This window comes from Homo sapiens, chromosome 2 (assembly GCF_000001405.40).
Source record: "Homo sapiens chromosome 2, GRCh38.p14 Primary Assembly".
Lineage (NCBI taxonomy): Eukaryota > Metazoa > Chordata > Mammalia > Primates > Hominidae > Homo > Homo sapiens.
This window is the reverse complement of record NC_000002.12, coordinates 159,720,427-159,739,366: the sequence shown is the minus strand read 5'-3', so window position 1 is coordinate 159,739,366 and position 18,940 is coordinate 159,720,427. Positions and strand designations below refer to the sequence as shown.

General features: G+C 39.2%; 1 protein-coding gene across 53 annotated transcripts in view, besides 1 other annotated feature; it reads right to left on the bottom strand.

Annotated features, from left to right (window-relative positions):
* Window positions 1-18,940, bottom strand: part of MARCHF7 (membrane associated ring-CH-type finger 7) — a 58,522-nt gene that overhangs the window by 31,661 nt on the left and 7,921 nt on the right. For 47 of the 53 annotated variants that reach the window (NR_164794.1, NR_164792.1, NR_164791.1 and 44 more), the window contains one exon: window positions 10,192-10,358. The exons of 4 other annotated variants lie outside the window; for them this stretch is intronic. Coding sequence is in view for 39 of the 49 variants with exons in the window: in XM_047445513.1 (XP_047301469.1) it covers window positions 10,192-10,344 (153 nt within the window). In the remaining 10 variants the exon portion in view is untranslated. Of the gene's footprint in view, window positions 1-5,284; window positions 5,404-10,191; window positions 10,359-18,940 lie in introns of those variants that run through there. 2 more of the 53 variants (NM_001376246.1, NM_001282807.2) reach the window with 2 other exon arrangements.
* Window positions 786-1,778: an enhancer, noted in NCBI's record as "H3K27ac-H3K4me1 hESC enhancer chr2:160594100-160595092 (GRCh37/hg19 assembly coordinates)". NCBI's record gives its function as "activates a minimal SCP1, AML or CMV promoter by ChIP-STARR-seq in primed H9 embryonic stem cells {active_cell/tissue: H9 hESC(primed)}" and the evidence as "EXISTENCE:reporter gene assay evidence [ECO:0000049][PMID:30033119]".

The window sequence follows — 18,940 nt, the reverse complement described above, 5'->3', positions numbered from 1 at the left end:
TATTTTTCCAACTATAGGTTGATGCTAACAGCTGTGATGGCAGCAGCAGTTCATCTGGAGCGGCTGCCACAAAGACGCCGGCTGCAGCAGGGGAGGCGTGGCAGGGTCTGTGCGCTCCACAGAGTCAGCAACAGGTGGGAGCCCTGACCACTTCCAAGTTGGTGGGGTGGGAGCCCTGTGCTCCCTGACCCAGCTGTGGCTGTAGACTTGGGTATCCCTGTGCTCTCAGGGGCCTGAGAAGCCTCCCTTCCCGCCCCCGCCTCCTGCTCCGATTTTGGAGCAAAGTTTTGGCCAAGCTTGGGCACTGTCACGATCCAGGTGTGTATGCGCATGCTTGGGGCAGTGCCGACACACCAGCCCACTGCTACCTTGGCCCCCGTCTGGACTTTGGGCACCAACAAGCACAAAGGGAAGCCAAGGGGGAACTGAGGGTGGCTTGGCATGGGTCTGCAGGCATCCCTTGGCACAAACAGCCTGGGTGCCATGAACAGTAGCAGGAGGCAGACATGCTCCTGGGTGAAAAGGGGCAGGTCCCTAGTGAAACCCTACCTTTAAGCCTGGGATGGCCTGAAGCCTGGAGGCTGGGCTGCCAGTTCCACGGACCGGAGTGAGAACTTATGGTGCTTATCCCAGGCCCACCCATTGCCTCCCATGGACCAATCAGCATGCACTTCCTCTTCTCTGAAGCCCATGAAAATCTGACTCAGCCAGATGTCAGGCTGACTTCCCTATGGACAGGAGCTACCCACTCCTGTCTGGTCTCCTCTCCACTGAAAGCTACACACTCGTTGGGATGACCTGCCTGTGGAAAGGAGCCACCCACTTTGGGTCTCCTGAGAGCTGTGCTACTGCTCAATAAAGCCCCTCTTCGCCTTGCTAACCCTCCAACTGTCTGTGTACCTCATTCTCTCTGGACGTGGGACAAGAACTCGGGACCCGCCAAATGGTGGGACTCGAAGAGCTGTAACACAAACAGTGCTGAAACATCCCTTCCTACCCCCCACTCACCATGCTGCCGGCGACAAGGACGGAAGAGCTCTGACCCTTTGGGGAGTCCAGACCTAGGAGCTCCCTGAACCAGGGCTGTGACAACCTCTTTGGGGCTCTGTAGTTCCTTGTGTCTCCAAGCTTTTGGGTGCCACTGCGTTCCTCAGTGCCCACAGAAGCTGCTGCCTGTGGTACACCTGATCCATCCACAGCCTCATAGGGCACCAGTGCCTAGAGCTGCCTGCCCCACTGCACCCAGTGTGCCTGGCTGTAAACGGTGGCCGGACCCTGCGCTCACTTGCCCATGCACCCCCTGCCGATCCATGTCTGGCTCACCCTTGGCAGGCGTGGGATCCGAGCTGATAGCACGAGTCGAACAAAGCCTGCCAGTCCGAGTAGGCAGAACACACCCAGCAGGCCCGAGCAAAACCTGGGCAAAGGCACCACCAGCCACAGAGGCTTCTAGCTGGAAAAGCAACACTCCAAGTGCTGACAGCTGTACCATTTTACAGTCCCATCAACTATGTATGAAGGTTCCAATTTCTCCACCACTTACCAACACTGTGATTGTCCATCTTTTTTTTTAATTTTGAGACAGGGTCTCAGCTCTGTTGCCCAGGCTAGAATGCAGTGATGCAATCACAGGTGACTGTGGCCTTGACTTCCTGGGCCCAAGCAATCCTTCCACCTCAGCCTCCAGAGTAGCTGAGACTACAGGCATGCGACACCATGCACAGCTAATTTTTAAATTATTTCTTGGTAGAGACTGGGTCTCACTATGTTGCACAGGTCTCAAATTCCTGGGTTCAAGCAATCCTCCCAGATTTGGCCTCCCAACTCAGGCCTGGGATTACAGGCATGAGTCACTGTGCCCAGCCTATCCATCTTTTTTATTTTGGCTATGCTAGTGGGTGTTAAGTATCTCACTGTAGTTCTGACTTGCATTTCCCTAATGACTAATATTTTTTCATGTGCTTATCAGCCATTAATATATCTTTGGAAAAATGTTTATTAAAGTCCTTTGCCCATTTGAAATTGGGTTATATTTTTATTGTTGAGAGGTAAGAGTTCTTCATATATTCTGGATACAAGTCTCAGTATCCAGTAAGATATATACTTTGCAAATATTTTCTCTCATTCTGTGGATTGTCTTTTCACTCTCTTGGTATCGATGCACACAAATTTTAATTTTTATGAAAACTAATCAATCTTTTTTTGCATTTCCTGCCTCCCGACTATGAGCACTCGTATGAAACTAGATGGAAGCAACTAAATTTACACTGGAGTTTAAAGAGGTTTCTTTCTTTTTCATTAACTTTCCAGTCTCTACCCAGACAGGTAACAGATTTGGCTCCCAGAGTAAATAGTTTTCATCAGTTATTTCCAATTCAAAAGGCTATCTGTGATATGGTGAATTGTATGGTATATGAATTATAACTCAATAAAATGAGGGAAGAGGTGGAGGGCTATCTAGCCCAACCAAAGTAGCTGAAATACTATATAGTGTATCTGAGAAATCATCAATAAGACAGCTTGGAGACTTAATAGCTATAGATACTCTATGCACAATGAATAGAAAATAACTTTCCAAGACTTTATATAACTAGCAGGCATCCAATTTTCATTTTATTTCTTTTTACCTTCATAATAGTTATTCATACCACCTTTCCAACAAGAGGTTTACTGGAAGTATAGTCAATGAAATCATTTACTATTACTATTGTATAAGTCAATATTTGCTTTCAGAAAATTATTTCTAAGGTTTTAAAATATTTTCCCAACACAAATGCCCTTAAAACAATGCAATTAAAAAAATAAAAAAACTTAAGGAGAAAATATTTGCAAATCATGTATCCAATAAGGAGCTTGTATCTAGAATATATAAAGAACACTTACAACTGAGTAACAAGACAAGTGTACTTTAAAATGAGCAAAGGAACTATTATAAATAGGCATTTCTGAAAAATGTACAGTAAACGGCCAATTAGCACATGAAAAGATGTATAACATCATTAGTCATCAAGGAAATCCAAATCAAAACCACAATGAGATACATACCACTTCATACCCATTGGGATGGCTAGAATCAGAAAGTAAGATAAGTGCTGATGAGAATGTGGAGAGACTGGAATCTTCATACACACAAAAGGGAATGTAAAATGATCTAGCCAGTTTGAAAACAGTATGGCAGTTCCCCAAACGATTGAACACAGAGGTTATGCATGACTCGGCAATTCCATTCCCTTATTTTAAGAGACAGGGTCTCACTCTATGGCCCAAGCAGTAGTGAAGTGGTGCCATCATAGCTCACTGAAGCCTCAACCTTATGAGCTTAAGGGATCCTTCCACCTCAGCCTCCCAAAAAGTTAGGACTACAGGTGTGCACCACCATATCAGGTTAGTTTTGAAATTTTTTTAGAGATGGGCTATCACTATATTGCCTAGGCTGGTCTTGTACTCCTGGCCTTAAATACTCCTGCCGTTTTGTCTCCCAAAGTGCTGGGATTACAGGCATGAGCCAACATGCCTGGCTCCACTTAGTACATACCAAACACAAGTGAAAACACAAGTCCACACAGAAACTTGCATATGAATGTTTATAGCAGCATTATTCATAATAGTCAGAAGGTAGAAACAACCCAAATGTCCATCAGAAAATAAATGAACAAAATATGGCATATCCATACAATGAAATAGTATTCAGCCACAAAAAAGAATAAAGTACTGACATATGCTACAATATAGATGAACACTGAAAATATGCTAAGTCAAAGAAGCTACTAACAAAAGACTACATAGTACCTGTTTCTACTCATGTATATGAAAATCCAAAATAGGGAAATGTACAGATATAAAGTAGATTAATGGTTGCTTTGCACTGGTAGGGGAAGAGGGACTAGAGGAGCAGTGCAGTGATAACCATAATGGTTGTGCAGCTCTGTGAATATACTGAAGACTACTGAACTTTAAATGGGCAAACTATATGGTATGTGAAATTACAACTTAATAAAGTCATTTCTTAAAAAAGAACTTTAAAGATACTTGCAAATTTACATCAATGTTATCCACTGGCAAATGATTAATTAAAAATCATGTAATGCACAGGAACAGAAACTAGCCCAGAATGATATTCTTTTCCTGGGCTCCTCATTTCCATGAGTTAATGACTTGACTGTGAAGTGAATAAATCCTGCTTTGAAAGACTTCCAGAACAACATTACCTTAGCCATGAGCAACAACTTAAGACTTTGAGCTCTCCCTTGTTTGAAATATTCATGTGATGGAGAGTACCCATCTCCACACCAATGCAGAAGAAACTCATGTCACTCCACTGTACACTTTAAGACCAAATTGACAAGCTGTGTTTCCTTGGAGGAATGGTAAATCTTTTTCTTTTTGAGACAGGGTCCTGTTCTGTCACCCAAGCTGGAGTGCAATTGCATGATCAAGGGTCATTGCAACCTCAACCTCCTGGGCTCAAGCAATCTTCCTGCCTCAGCCTCCTGAGTAGCTGGGACTAAGATGTGTGCTACCATGCCTGGCTTTTTTTTTTTTTTTTTTTCATTTTATTTTTAGAGAGGGGTCCCACTATGTCACCCAGACTGGTCTCGAACTCCTGGCCACAAGTGACCCTCCCACCTTGGCCTCCCAAAGTGCTGAGATTAAAGGAGTGAGCCACCATGTCCAGTCTCTTTTTCTTATATGCAATACTCATTATAGAGCTAGTTGTGTTTTCCTGCAATTTTCTTGATACCCAAAATGAGAGCAAGTTTAACTTAAAAATGCTGCAGGGTTTATGCAATGCCTATCAATGTTACAATTCTGACCCACTCTCCATATTTATTACTCTCAGTATTCTATCTGTATATTTCCTTATCCTATTTTAAACTGTTTTCATTTTCTTGTTTAATTGTATATGCATCTATGTATTTATTTCCTTGAAAACTACACTTGCATAAGGTAGTTTTAAAAATTAATGACCACTGGTTCTACACTATGCAAAATATGCAATGGTACTGATCTCTATAGCAGTTATCTACAAACTAAAAAAAAAAAGGTATCAATAACTTTAAAAAGCCCCTACAACCTTATAAAAAGCCTCCTTTTAAAATTATTTCATATTAAAAGTAATCAACCTCTCAACAAGGCAAAACAGAACAAACACTAAACAGATTAGTGCTTCCTTAAAGTTACAGAAAAATACACCAAAACAAAATTACATATCCACAAATAACCCCTTTTTAACAATATTTATAGAAATTAAATTTTCCTTTAAAAACATGTAAATTTTGCTTACTGTTACTAAAGACATAAGATGATCATAGTTGCCAATCATTCAAATTGTGATAAAAATTTAAAGATGGGATAGCAGAAGTAACAGCAAGATTAGTAGCAGGTGAAGCGCAGCTTACAAATGGCTGAGAACTGAAAGATATTTAGGAAATCAACTGTTCGGAACTTAGAATCTACATTTTCCCAAAGAAACAATGCTATCCAGAATCTTGGATTCTTAAGCTCAAGTATATTACATAATAATCGTGTAAGTGAGAGAAACCACCTATATTTCTAGATTTCAGAACCTTATCGATGAACTGACACAAATATCCATGTTAACTAAAAACAGAAGTAAAAAATGTTCTATAAAATGTCAAGCACTATATAAGGTGTTCCCATATTAAGTCTATAACATAACTGAAATTGATCATGTCCTACCCCCTGACCCTCTTTTCTCTGAAGCTTCAGATTTACCAAGTGCCTGAGATAACAGAAGTTTTATGTCTCCAAGAGTTGTGAGTTAAAAAGCCTCAACAATCTTTTTTTTTTTTTTTTAATGTTGCCTCTGGCCAGGTGCAGTAGCTCATGCCTGTAATCCCAGCACCTTTGGAGGGTGAGGCAGGAAGACTGCTTGATCTCCTAAGTTCGAGACCAGCCTGGTCAATACAGTGAGACTTCACATCTACAAAAAATTTAAAAAGCAGTGCAGTGTGGTGTGCACACCTGTATTCTCAAGCTACTCAGGAGGCTGAGGTGGGAGGACTGCTTGAGCCCAGGAGGCAGAGGCTTCAGTGAGCTGAGATTGTGCTACTATACTCCAACCTGGGTGAGTGTGAGAACCCGTCTCAAAAACTAAATAATTTTAAAATGCTCCCTTTGACACTGAGTAATCTTAACAATGCTAAATAAAACTAAACATACTATATGTAATTTAATATTTGGATAACATTATACTATACCCTACAGATATTATCTTAAACCAATGTAAAGCCAGGAAATAATAATGGTAACAGTAAAAGTTAACAATTATAAATAATTATAACTAAATAAAAATAACAATTATAAATAATTATAATTAGTAACACCTGAACCCCTATACTATGTTCTAGGCACTGTTCCAAGTGCTTCACATGTATTCTTTCTTTCAATTAATCTTAACAATTAAGATGAACAATCTTGTTCATCTTACATCTCACATATAGATGTGGCTGTATGAAGAAACCGCTATCACTATCACCATTTCACAGAAGAAAATACAGATAAATAAAATACAGGCCAGGCATGATGGCAGATGTCTGTAATCCCATCACTTTGGGAGGCTGAGGTGGGAGTACTGCTGGAGGCCAGGAGTTTGAATCCAGCCTGGGCAACACAGCAAGACCCCATCTCTATAAGAAAAATTTTTTAAAAAATTAGCCACGTGTGTGTGTGTGGCAGGGGGCTGCGCATCTGTAGTCCCAGCTACTCAGGAGGCTGAGGCAGGAGGATTGCTTGTGCCCAGAAAGTTGTGGCTGCGCCGAGTCATGATTGCTCAACTACACTACAAGCTGGGTGACAGAGCAGGACCCTGTCTCTTAAAAAGTGTAACACTTTGTTCAAGAACACAGGAGTTTCAATTTCTAAATCAAAACTAAATAAGCAAAGCAGCCTAAAAATGGTTGACTTATGGCTGAAACTGCTCCCATACCATTAAAAAGAAAAAAGCGATTAAAAAACTGATTGTAAGCAACTTAAAGCAACTAAAAAGCATTTAGAAAATACCTAAAATTTATAAAAATAATTTATCTTAAGAATCAATAAAGATTTTAAAAATTCTACTTGGTTTTTGGATGTTTGCAAGTAATTTTTGAATTTTACTTGGGTACTTAAATACATGAAAATTTTGGAACAGAATGAAATCAACACTAATATGTTACTACAACCATCATTTAGGTGGGGTCATTTTGAAGTCATTAACATGACATTTAAATTTTTTTTTGTTTTTTGTTTTTTGTTTTTTTTGAGACAGAGTCTCGCTCTGTCGCCCAGGCTAGAGTGCAGTGGCGTGATCTTGATTCACTGCAAGCTCTGCCTCCAGGGTTCATGCCATTCTCCTGCCTCAGCCTCCCGAGTAGCTGGGACTACAGGCGCCCGCCACCACGCCCGGCTAATTTTTTGTAATTTTAGTGGAGACGGGGTTTCACTGTGTTAGCCAGGATGGTCTCGATCTCCTGACCTTGTGATCCGCCTGCCTAAGCCTCCCAAAGTGCTGGGATTACAGGCGTGAGCCACTGTGCCCGGCTGAAATTTAAATGGTTTTTTTTAAAAAATGCTATTTGTTTAACATAATAAGAAATGGAATTTTTTTTTTGAGACGGAGTTTCACTCTTATTGCCCAGGCTGGAGTGCAATGGCGCGATCTTGGCTCATGGCAACTTCCGTCTCCAGGATTCAAGTGATTCTCCTGCCTCAGCCTCCCGAGTAGCTAGGACTACAGGCATGCGCCACCACGCCCAGCTAATTTTGTCTTTTTAGTAGAGACGGGGTTTCTCCATGTTGGTTAGGCTGGTCTCAAACTCCCGAACTCAGGTGATCCACCTGCCTCGGCCTCCCAAAGTGCTGGGACTACAGGCGTGAGCCACCATGCCAGGCCAGAAATGAACTTTTTTGAATAATCTACAACATTAACAAGTTAGAAGAAACAGTTTGAAAACGGTCATATCTTAAGGAGAATGTCAATAAATTTACTAAATATATTCAGGATTTTAGCACCTACACTATTATAATAATTATTATAACAATTATAAAAAACATGCAACAGTAGCTAACATTTATATAGTATTTATCATATGCCAGGCACTATTATCATTTAACATAAAGCATTGTCATGTAACTATAACAACTGGATAAAGTAGGTGATACAAAAAGATGTCGGCCAGGTGCAGTGGCTCACACCTGTAATCCCAGCACTCTGGGAGGGAAGGTGGGCAGAATGGTTGAGCCCAGGAGTGTGAGACCTGCCTGGGCAACATAGCGAAACCCCATCTCTTCAAAAAAACACAAAAATTAGCTAGGCATGGTGGCACGTCCCTGCAGTCCTAGCTGCTGGAGGAGAGGCTGAGGTGAGAGGACCACTTGAGCCTGGGAGGTCTAGGCTGTAGTGAGCCGTGATTGCACCACTCACTCCAGCCTGGGTAACAGAGTGAGATCCTGTCTCAAAAAAAGAAACAAACAAACAATCAAAAACAATCACAACAGAAAAAGATGTCAATAGCTAGTAAGTCATGAAACATGACTCCTCTCTAGGCAGTACAGTCTGGTTTCAAAATTTGTGTTCCTCATTAATAAGCTATATATATTTTTAAAATTAGACAAAAATGAGTAGACAAAATTTTATGAAGACAATACAGGAAAACACAATTCTGTGCCCTTTATATGTCACCATGACATTTCTACAGAAGGCAAAATATATGATTCTACACCTCTAGGAATCATAAACTTGTCTAGAAGCAGAAAATGTACAGTATCAATTGACATTTAAAATGAGACTAGGTTCCGCTGAGCTGCAGTTTAAAATAAAATAGAGACCAGGTAAACAGTTCATATAAAGTCAATTAAGAAATGGGTAGTAGATATGAGCATTTTCATTTTTTGTTTTGTTTTGTTTTTTACTTCAGTCTTGCTCTGAATATCTTAAAGAATGCTTACTACTGTGTACGAACATTTTTATGAGACTTTGTCATATATCAGATCACATAACATATAAATATATAAATACTTAACACAAAGAAATTTTCAAAGGATTCTTTTAGATTACCTCAACATCAGACTTTTGCAAATCAAACATTAATTATAACATTCAGCCAAAAATGCAATGAGCTTAAATTTGCTACAATGATAAGCCATTTCAAAAGCCAAAGAACTAGCCAGGCATGGTGGGCATGTGCCTATAATCTCAGCTACTCAGGAGAATGAGGTGGGAGAGTCATTTGAGCCAGAGTTTGAGACCAGTCTGGGCAACATAGCAAAACCCTGTTTCAAACAAAACAAAAAGCTTGTGGTCCTAACGAAAACTAGCTACATAAGAGTAGATGGACATACCAATACAAACTCATTACTCACCATAAAAATCAAATTTAAAAATTCATGTAAAAGACTTTTAGCACTTTCATAAAAAGATAACCTGTTAATTTAAAAATTATTCAACATTCAAAGCAAAATATTTAGAAGTTATAATCTCACAGAAAAACACTTAACATTTGTTATTTCACCACTGCTTTGTGTATATGCAGAGAAAAGTCAGATGAATCAGTGTGATCTTAGAGGGAAAGGAGGTACAGTTTTTGTTCCTCTGACAAAGCCATTCACATTGATTGACCAGTTTAGTTAAATTTATACTTATGTTTTTACGTACAAGGTTTTCCAAGTCTTTGGAAAGCATTTTTTTTTTTTTGAGATGGAGTCTCACTCTGTCACCCAGGCTGGAGTGCAGTCTCATGATCTCAGCTCACTGCAACCTCCACCTCCTGGGTTCAAGCAATCCTCCCTCTTCGGCCTCCCAAGTAGCTGGGATTACAGGTGTGTGCCACCATGTCCAGCTAATTTTTTTGTATTTTTAGTCGAGACGGGGTTTCGTCATGTTGGCCAGGCTGGTCTCGAACTCCTGACCTCAAATGATCTGCCAGTCTCAGCCTGCCAAAGTGCTGGGATTACAGGCGTGAGCCACCGTTCCCAGCGCAAAAGTATGATTTTATATGAGGTTACAATCTGTTATCCATAATTCTGAAGTCCAAAAAGTTTGAAAAATGTTATTCATTTTGCTACATATATATTGGTTTTGATTACAGGATGCCTCAGATCCAGCTAACACATTTTTTAAATACCCCCAAAAGAGTGGCCCTAGGGATTTTGAAAAAGGCTGTATACATATATTCCAAATAAAAATGTTACCTGATATTCAGAATCCAATCTAAATGAAGAGTCTCTTGAGTGATAGGTATCATTTAAACTACTTCCTCTGCTTCCAGACATCATCCTAGCACTTAAGGAGCTGGAAGGTTGAACAGAAATTCTTCTTGGAATCCTTGAAGGTTTAGACTCCATTCTTAAAGATTTTTCTGTGAAATAAAAATTTTCATTAATTGCCTTTGGGAAAATATGAAAGCCTTTAATGCTTAATCCTCCTTAATCATCAGCTCAAATAAAAAATTAACCATACAAATTAACCATATCTGACAACGTAAATTGTGAAATGATCACCACTTCTCTTCCGCAAAGCAGAAGTTCATCAAAGGTTTCCTATCGTCCATAAAAGGAAGCAAACAAACATGGTAAAAGTGGAATGAAGAACTCTGAGGTCTGTTGTTTCCAAAATCTGGGCTCTTTTCCTTACTCAATTTTGTCTATTACATATTCTACATGAATTTGTCCTTGACTCTCTTGGTATTCTCTATTTTTAGTGTTCAATGATCATACCTGTTGTACTATTTGCATACCCCTTAACACACTATGTTCTTACAAACCTTTATATGTGCCTGGAAAGTCTATACATTCCCCACCCAATTCTTGGTCATCTGTTTAAACACAAGTACCTTTCTTCTCTGTATATGTTTCTACTTCATACATACTTTTGATACTACTATGCATTGTAATTTGTTTACCTTTCTATTTCCCCATCTCAACAATGAATTTTCTAGGTCAGAATCATTTAAAGTATTTTAAAATCACTGCCTGGGATACAATAGGTACTCAATAAACACAAGTAAGAATGAATGAACTTTCTTTTTATTTACCACTCATAGGATCTCTTAATTATAACAAAAATAATAGCAATAGCTGATATTTATTAAGTATTATATGCAAGGTCTGACAGTAAAGACCTTCTGATTATCTGTTAGTTCACTGACTCTCCAGACCAACCCTGTGAGACAGGTACTATATTATCTCCACTTTATAAATAAGAAAACAGGCACTGAGAGGTTAAGCAATTTGCACATGATCACACAGCTAATAAAGTGTTTCTCAAAATGTTTTCAAAGATTGTTTATGGTACTATTGGAAAGTAACATTTTAAGTAAAAAGGTCAATCTATAAAACTACACATACAGTATGATTCTATTTATGCAAATAAAATGAATAAAACTTCTAAGAAAAAAACAAAATGTTATTTTGTGGAACTGAGTGCTTTCCACTTTATAGATTAATAATTTCCAAGTTTTCCTCACTAAACATTTCTAAACCCACGACGAAAGTAATGATTACCTATGCCTGATTATTAAATACGTATAAACGGAATCATACAATAAGTACTCTTTTGTGTCCAACTTCATTTGCTCAACACTATATTTGTGAGATTCATCTGTGTTGTTGCATGCAGTCTTCAGTTCACTCTAATTTCTTTACATAGCATTCCACCATATGGCACACAATTTATTTTCCCATTCTACCATGAATGTACGCTAGATTGTTTCCACTTGGGAGTTGTAACAGTGCTACTATAAGCACGTTACTACTATAATTTAAAAAGCTTTTTTTTTCTGAGACGGAGTCTCACTCTGTTGCCCAGGCTAGAGTGAAGTGGCACGATCTCGGCTCACTGGAAGCTCCACCTCCTGGGTTCACGCCATTGTCCCGCCTCAGCCTCCCAAGGAGCTGGGACTACAGGCTCCCGCCACCACGCCCAGCTAATTTTTTTGTATTTTTAGTAGAGACGGGGTTTCACCATGTTAACCAGGATGGTCTCGATCTCCTGACTTCGTGATCTGCCCGCCTCGGCCTCCCAAAGTGCTGGGATTACAGGCATGAGCCACCGTGCCCAGCCTTAAAAAGCTTTTAAAATATTCTGAGGCAAGGATTTACAAGGCCTCTGACTGTATCTCATATAAGTGGAATCATACAATATTTGTCTTTTCGTGATTGGCAAATTTATTTCCCTTACCCTAATGTTCTCAAAGTTCATCTATATTGTACCATATGCCAGAATTTCCTTCCTTTTTTAAGGCTGAATATTATTGTATTGTATGCATAGTTATGCATCACTCAAGAACAGGAATATATTCTAAGAAATGCGTCTTTAGGTGATTTCTTCACTGTGCAAAAATAATAGTGTACATACACAAACCTAGATGGTATAGTCTAATACCTGGATTATATAGTATAACCTATTGTTTCTAGGCAGCAAATCTTTACAGCATGTTCCTGTACTGAATACTGTAGACAAATGTAATTCAATGGTAAGTATTTATATAACTAAACAGAGAAAAGATACATTAAAAATAATTATAGTCAAATCATAGAGAAAGAAGATTGGTGGTTGGCAGGGGATGGGGAGTTGTTTAATGAGTATGAAATTTTGGTTTTACAAGATGAAAAGAATTATGGAGATAGATGATAGTGATGTTTGCACAACATTATGAATATATCCAATAATACTGAATTGTACACAAACATGGTTAAGATGGTAAAATTTTATGTTCTCTGTATTTTATCACAAAAAAATAACAACAGGTTGGGGGTAATGGTGCATGTGGCTGGAAAGCAAGTTGTTAAATTAAAACCTGTATCTGGCCGGGGGCGGTGGCTCATGCCTGTAATCCCAGCACTTTGGGAGGCTGAGGCAGGCGGATCACAAGGTCAGGAGATCAAGACCATCCTGGCTAACACAGTGAAACCCCGTCTCCACTAAAATTACAAAAAATTAGCCGGCCGTGGTAGCGGGCGCCTGTAGTCCCAGCTACTTAGGGGGCTGACGCAGGAGAATGGCGTGAACCCGGGAGGCGGAGCTTGCAGTGAGCAGAGATCGTGCCACTGCACTCTGGCCTGGGTGCAAGAGCGAGACTCGGTATCAAAAAACAAAACAAAACAAAACAAAACAAAACAAAACAAAACAAAACAAAACAAAACAAAACCTGTATCTGGAGCAGTAGTAGAGCTTCAGATTCTTCCCCAGTTCCATTCCCCTAAAGGTAGGATATTTATTCTCTGGCAAATAAATCTTTCCTAGGTAACACTCTTGTGTCCCTACCACCCCCCATCTCCCACACACGACATGCAATAATCTCCGCAGGAGTTTAGGCATGGGGTCAGTATAAGGAATAAAAGAAAATTTATATACTCAGTATTGAGACCCACAGACTCTTTTGTGGTCATGTTTCTACAATGCTGTCAGGAGACTAAGGGATTCTACTCTTGGATCACCAAACACCCGTGATAAGATTTCTGAATGTCATCTGAAATGTTTCCACTTTAAAGGTTAGCCTTCCACTAGACCATTCTATCCTACAACAAAGGCTGCTAGTCACCAGGAGTTTCTCATCAGAATTTTTAATGCTTCCCTCTAACTGACAAACATCAAGGACTACCATGTAATCAAGGAAGGCCTCCAATATGAAAGAAGGACCAAAGTAAACAACAATAAAAACAAAACTTTAAGATGTTGCAGGGAGAGGAAAATTTGGGGGAAAGGGGCTTATTTCTATCCTCACAGGGATCAAATAACATTCATTCATTGGGAGAAAATTTTTGCAATCTACCCATCTGACAAAGAGCTAATATCCAGAATCTACAAAGAACTTAAATTCGTAAGAAAAAATCAAACAACCCTATAAAAAAGTGGGCGAAGGATATGAACAGACACTTCTCAAAAGAAGACATTTATGCAGCCAACAGACACATGAAAAAATGCTCATCATCACTGGTCATCAGAGAAATGCAAATCAAAACCACAACGAGACACCATCTCACACCAGTTAGAATGGCAATCATTAAAAAGTCAGGAAACAACAGGTGCTGGAGAGGATGTGGAGAATTAGGAACACTTTTACATTGTTGGTGGGACTGTAAACTAGTTTAACCATCCTGGAAGACAGTGTGGCGATTCCTCAAGGATCTAGAACTAGAAATACCATTTGACCCAGCCATCCCATTACTGGGTATATACCCAAAGGATTATAAATCATGCTACTATAAAGACACATGCACAAGTATGTTTACTGTGGCACTACTCACAATAGCAAAGACTTGGAATCAACCCAAATGCCCATCAATGATAGACTGGATAAAGCAAACGTGGCACATATACACCATGGAATACTATGCAGCCATAAAAAAGGATGAGTTCATGTCCTTTGTAGGGACATAGATGAAGCTGGAAACCATCATTCTCAGCAAACTATCGCCAAGGACAGAAAACCAAACATGGCATGTTCTCACTCATGGGTGGGAACTGAACAGTGAGAACACTTGGACACAGGGCAGGGAACATCACACACTGGGGCCTGTTTTAGGGTAGGGGGAGGGGGAAGGATGGCATTAAGAGAAATATCTATTGCAAATGACGAGTTAATGGGTGCAGCACACCAACATGGCACATGTATACATATGTAACAAATCTGCATGTTGTGCACGTGTACCCTAGAACTTAAAGTATAAAAAAAATTCATTCATAAAATAAGAACAGGATGTGTGAGAATACAAAGACAGCATTATAAAGAGCTTATGGAAATTCAAAATGCCATATACTTGTTAAAATGAGATATACTGAAATAAATTCAACATAAGGACTGGGAGTAAGTTGCAGAAACCTCCTGGAAAGCAGAACCAAAAGAAATAGCAAATGTAACATGAAAATAATTATCTAGAGAGTTATAATTTGACTGTGGTTACAGAAAAATATAGAGAAAATTACCAAATAAACTTTTCTAGAAACGAAGGACAGAACTCTCCAAATTGAAAGGGCTCAAGACTACATAAGAGCATCAAAGAAAAAAGACCAACACTAAGCACAATATACCATCTTGAAACTGCAGAAAACCAGAAGTAATGGGAAGATCCTATAAGTTACTAGAGTGGAAAAAATGGGTCACATACAAAGAGAACGTAATCAGAACAGCTTAACAGCAACAATAAAGTCTTAAGACAATGAAATAATGCTTATAATACTGAGAAAAATGTTTAGCCTTGAATTCCAATCTAGCAAGTACATTTGAAGTGGAGAACAGAACATGTTTTCAGACATGCAAGGTCTCAACAAAACACAACGACCAAAAACACTACCAGAGGAAGCTAAATGAACAGCGTGTCCTAGAAAAATGGGAGTGTGAGGCAGGAAATAACAAGATATGAAACCCAGGAAGCAGCGATAAAGGGGAACTTAAGGGGGATGCTATGCAGAAAGCATGGCAAGCAAACAATTCGGACTGGAGCAGGACCTCAGGTAGCAGAAGTTGTAAGAAAAGAAAAAGCATCACATGGAAACTACATCTCATTGGCATGTGGTAGAGATGGTGGTACAACTTGAAAAAACTGTGTATATAGAAGAAAAGGCAATTTTAAAAATTAATTTTTTAACTTGGAAAAACTTAGCTGTTCATGAAAGGCATGATTGTTATTAGGTGAGCTCTTTAATATTTACATAGTCTTAATAATGTAAATATAGACTACTGAATCAATTTGCTACATATTGTGAGATGGAAGTGGGCAGTGGAAATAAGAATGGTAGGAAACAATGAAAAACCATGAAATAACAGTATAAGCACACTGTTTAGAAAAATGAAAGTATGTAAGTCCTAAAAGAAATAGCTAAATAGCAGAGGGGCACTGCCTTTGCAAAGTGGGACTAGAGATGGGGTAAAGGGTAAGGAAAAGGACTGCTCTTTTCCTTAGAAGCAGGATGACCATATTTCCCCACTTGCCCAGAACAGTCCCAGTTTATGTGCTGAAAAATTCTAATTTATGCTTATTATCCCAGAATAATTATTAATAGTACCTACGCTGTCTCTTAAAAGTGGCCTCATTTGGATGATAAAGCATATGGTCACCTAACTTAGAAATCTTTTCTACCATCGGCTTTTTACAAACTATATACGTATTTGGTAAGTCCATACAAAATATTTCATTAAAAAGAGGTAAATTCTGAACTGGAAATTTTTTAAAGGCATTCATTAGAGAAAAGAATATTAATGGTTAAACAGTGACAATGCAAAAGCCCATGAACAATTTAACAAGTAGCAGATGTGGTATTTTATCAAGGCAGCTATGAAGACACTAAAGGGACTGTATTTGCAATCAGAGGATTTTTGGGAAACAAAATGCTTTTTAAAAGACATACGTCAATATTAAGTTCTATAACAACAATAATGTTTCCTAATAATACCTCTTATAGTTTACTCTGACTACATTTACACCCAGTTCTTACTTGCAGAACTAAACTAACCTAGTAGGAAATCTGCTTAAAACAAACCTCCTTGGGAGAAGGCAAAGAGGCAGAGTCCTTTGAGAGAGATAATTTGATATTGTATGGAACTATTTTTGGCAACTCCTCTACATAAATTGATTGAATTTTGACAATGTAGGTGTTACATGAAAACTTATGTAATTTGGTTGCGTAAGTTGTAGGTCAAAAGCACAAAATATAGTGAAAAACAAAAATGTGCAGTCCTTGAAAAACTTCTATCGAATCACTTAGAAGGTTCTAAGAGACATCTTTTCAAGTCCATTCATTCATTTAACCAAGTTTTTTGGATACTCATGCACTAAGCACAGTAATTAATACTTAACAAGCGAATGAGGTAGGGGGACAACACTAAACGTTCTGAGATGGTGCCTGTAAAGAAATTGTAGTCTAATATGGAACAAACTACACAAATAATCACATAACTTCAATAGTTCTAAGTGCTACAAAGGAAAAGGTATAGGCTGGGCATGGTGGCTTACAGCTGTAATCTCTGCACTTTGGGAGGCCGAGGTGGATCACTTGAGGCCAGGAGTTCGAGACCAGCCTGGCCAACACAGTGAAACCCTCTCTCTACTATAAATACAAAAATTAGCCAGGTGTGGTGGCACGCGCCTGTGATCCCAGCTACTCAGGAGGCTGAGGCACAAGAATCACTTGAAGCCCGGGAGGTGGAGGTTGCAGTGAGCTAACACTGGGCCACTGCACACCAGCCTGGGCAACAGAGAAAGACTGTCTCAAAAACAAAAAAAGAAAAAAGAAAAAGGTATAAGCAAGAGCAGACTACTGGAAAGAGGCATTTGAAGCTTAATGTTTTAAACCAAGACTTAAAAACAAATAGCGCAAAAAAAGTTCACATGTACAATCTTTCCTCAATGGTCAATGAAATGGTCTTTTCCTTCTGTCACTATGTCATGCTTTTTAAAATTCAGATTTCATTTCAGAGCTGGACAGTTAGGCTATCTTCCTGTTTGGTGATAAGAAACTTATCACCAGGGCTGATTTTGTAGGTGTGGGCTCCAAGCTTCATTAAAAGTTTTGCAACTGACATCCTGAAATTCTATCTTTGAATTTGTGTTTTATAAGTGGAGTCAGATAGGGCAGTGAAGTATGCCTCACTGAAGTCCCAGTCATGATAGATCCACTAGAATTTTATCCTCATGTTCCTCATCAACAAGTCTATGACTGAGGAAGGGGAGGCACTGACAAGAGGCTACACTTTCTATTCTCCAGAACTGGTATTGAGTGTGTAAGGAATCTAATTAGCTACAAAGCCACACACACACAGACAAAAATCGTACGATTGGTATTTGAGATTTTTCACTTATTGAACTTTTTGACTTCTGAGATGAAGTTTCTGGATGAAGATTCTCTGAAGCTGATAATGCAGCTGCTAGTTTACCTAATAAGACATACTTTTACTCTGTTAAGTATGTCTTCACCTTAAGGCATTTTAATAGTGGCTGACACAGCAACAAGAGTAAAAAACCTGTATTCATACCAATTCAACAATTTATGTAGTCTGTCTATATCTCACAAACCTGTGGGCTTGCTTTAGCTATGAAAAAAATGAACTGCTTTTTTAAATGAGTGACTCCATTCCTCTGGGCATCCTAAGAAACTCTGAAGATATCCAGGACATAAACAAGGTAAGGAATCTTAACAGGCCACCTCCTCACAATAAGGTGGACTCCAAAAGACCACAACCTCAGATTAAGAGTTAAGGTATTAGGCCCAGTGTGGTGGCTCATGCCTGTAATACCAGCACCTTGGAAAGCCGAGGAGGGTGAATCACAAAGTCAGGAGTTCAAGACCAGCCTGGCCAACATGGCGAAACCGCCTCTACTAAAAATACAGAAAAAAAAAAAAAAATAGCCGTGTGTGGTGGCTCGCGCCTGTAATCTCAGCTAATCCGGAGACTAAGGCAGGAGAATTGCTTGAATCCGGGAGGCAGAGGTTGCAGAGAGCCGAGATCATGCCACTGTACCCCAGCCTGAGCAATAGAGCAAGACTCTGTCTTGAGCGGTTGCGGAAAGAGTTAAGCTATTAATAGAAGTAAACCAGCTCTTGTGCAGATTTGCAGCCCAGGTTAATGTTGCCTGCTTGGTAAATGGAAGTTCAAATCCTGAATTTGGTTTAAGGTGGTCCCAATTTAGTAATCTACCAGGAACATGGCAGAAGCCAACATAAATCTTGCTAGAGGAATATACCTTCATGCTAACTTTCAAATTATTTCTACAAGTATTTTTTCAAGTATAACGAACAAGGGATAACTAAGTATACAGCAAAATAAGATACTACAAACAAGGTCTTTGAGACACAAGATGAGAGAAAAAAAATAGGGTAGCAAAAACATCAAATCAAGCATTTCAGGCAGATTATAAAACTATGCTTAGTGTGTTTGAATAAAGAGAAGCTTGAAAAATACAGGCAAGGAACAGGAAACTGCAAAAAGAGCACTTTTTAACA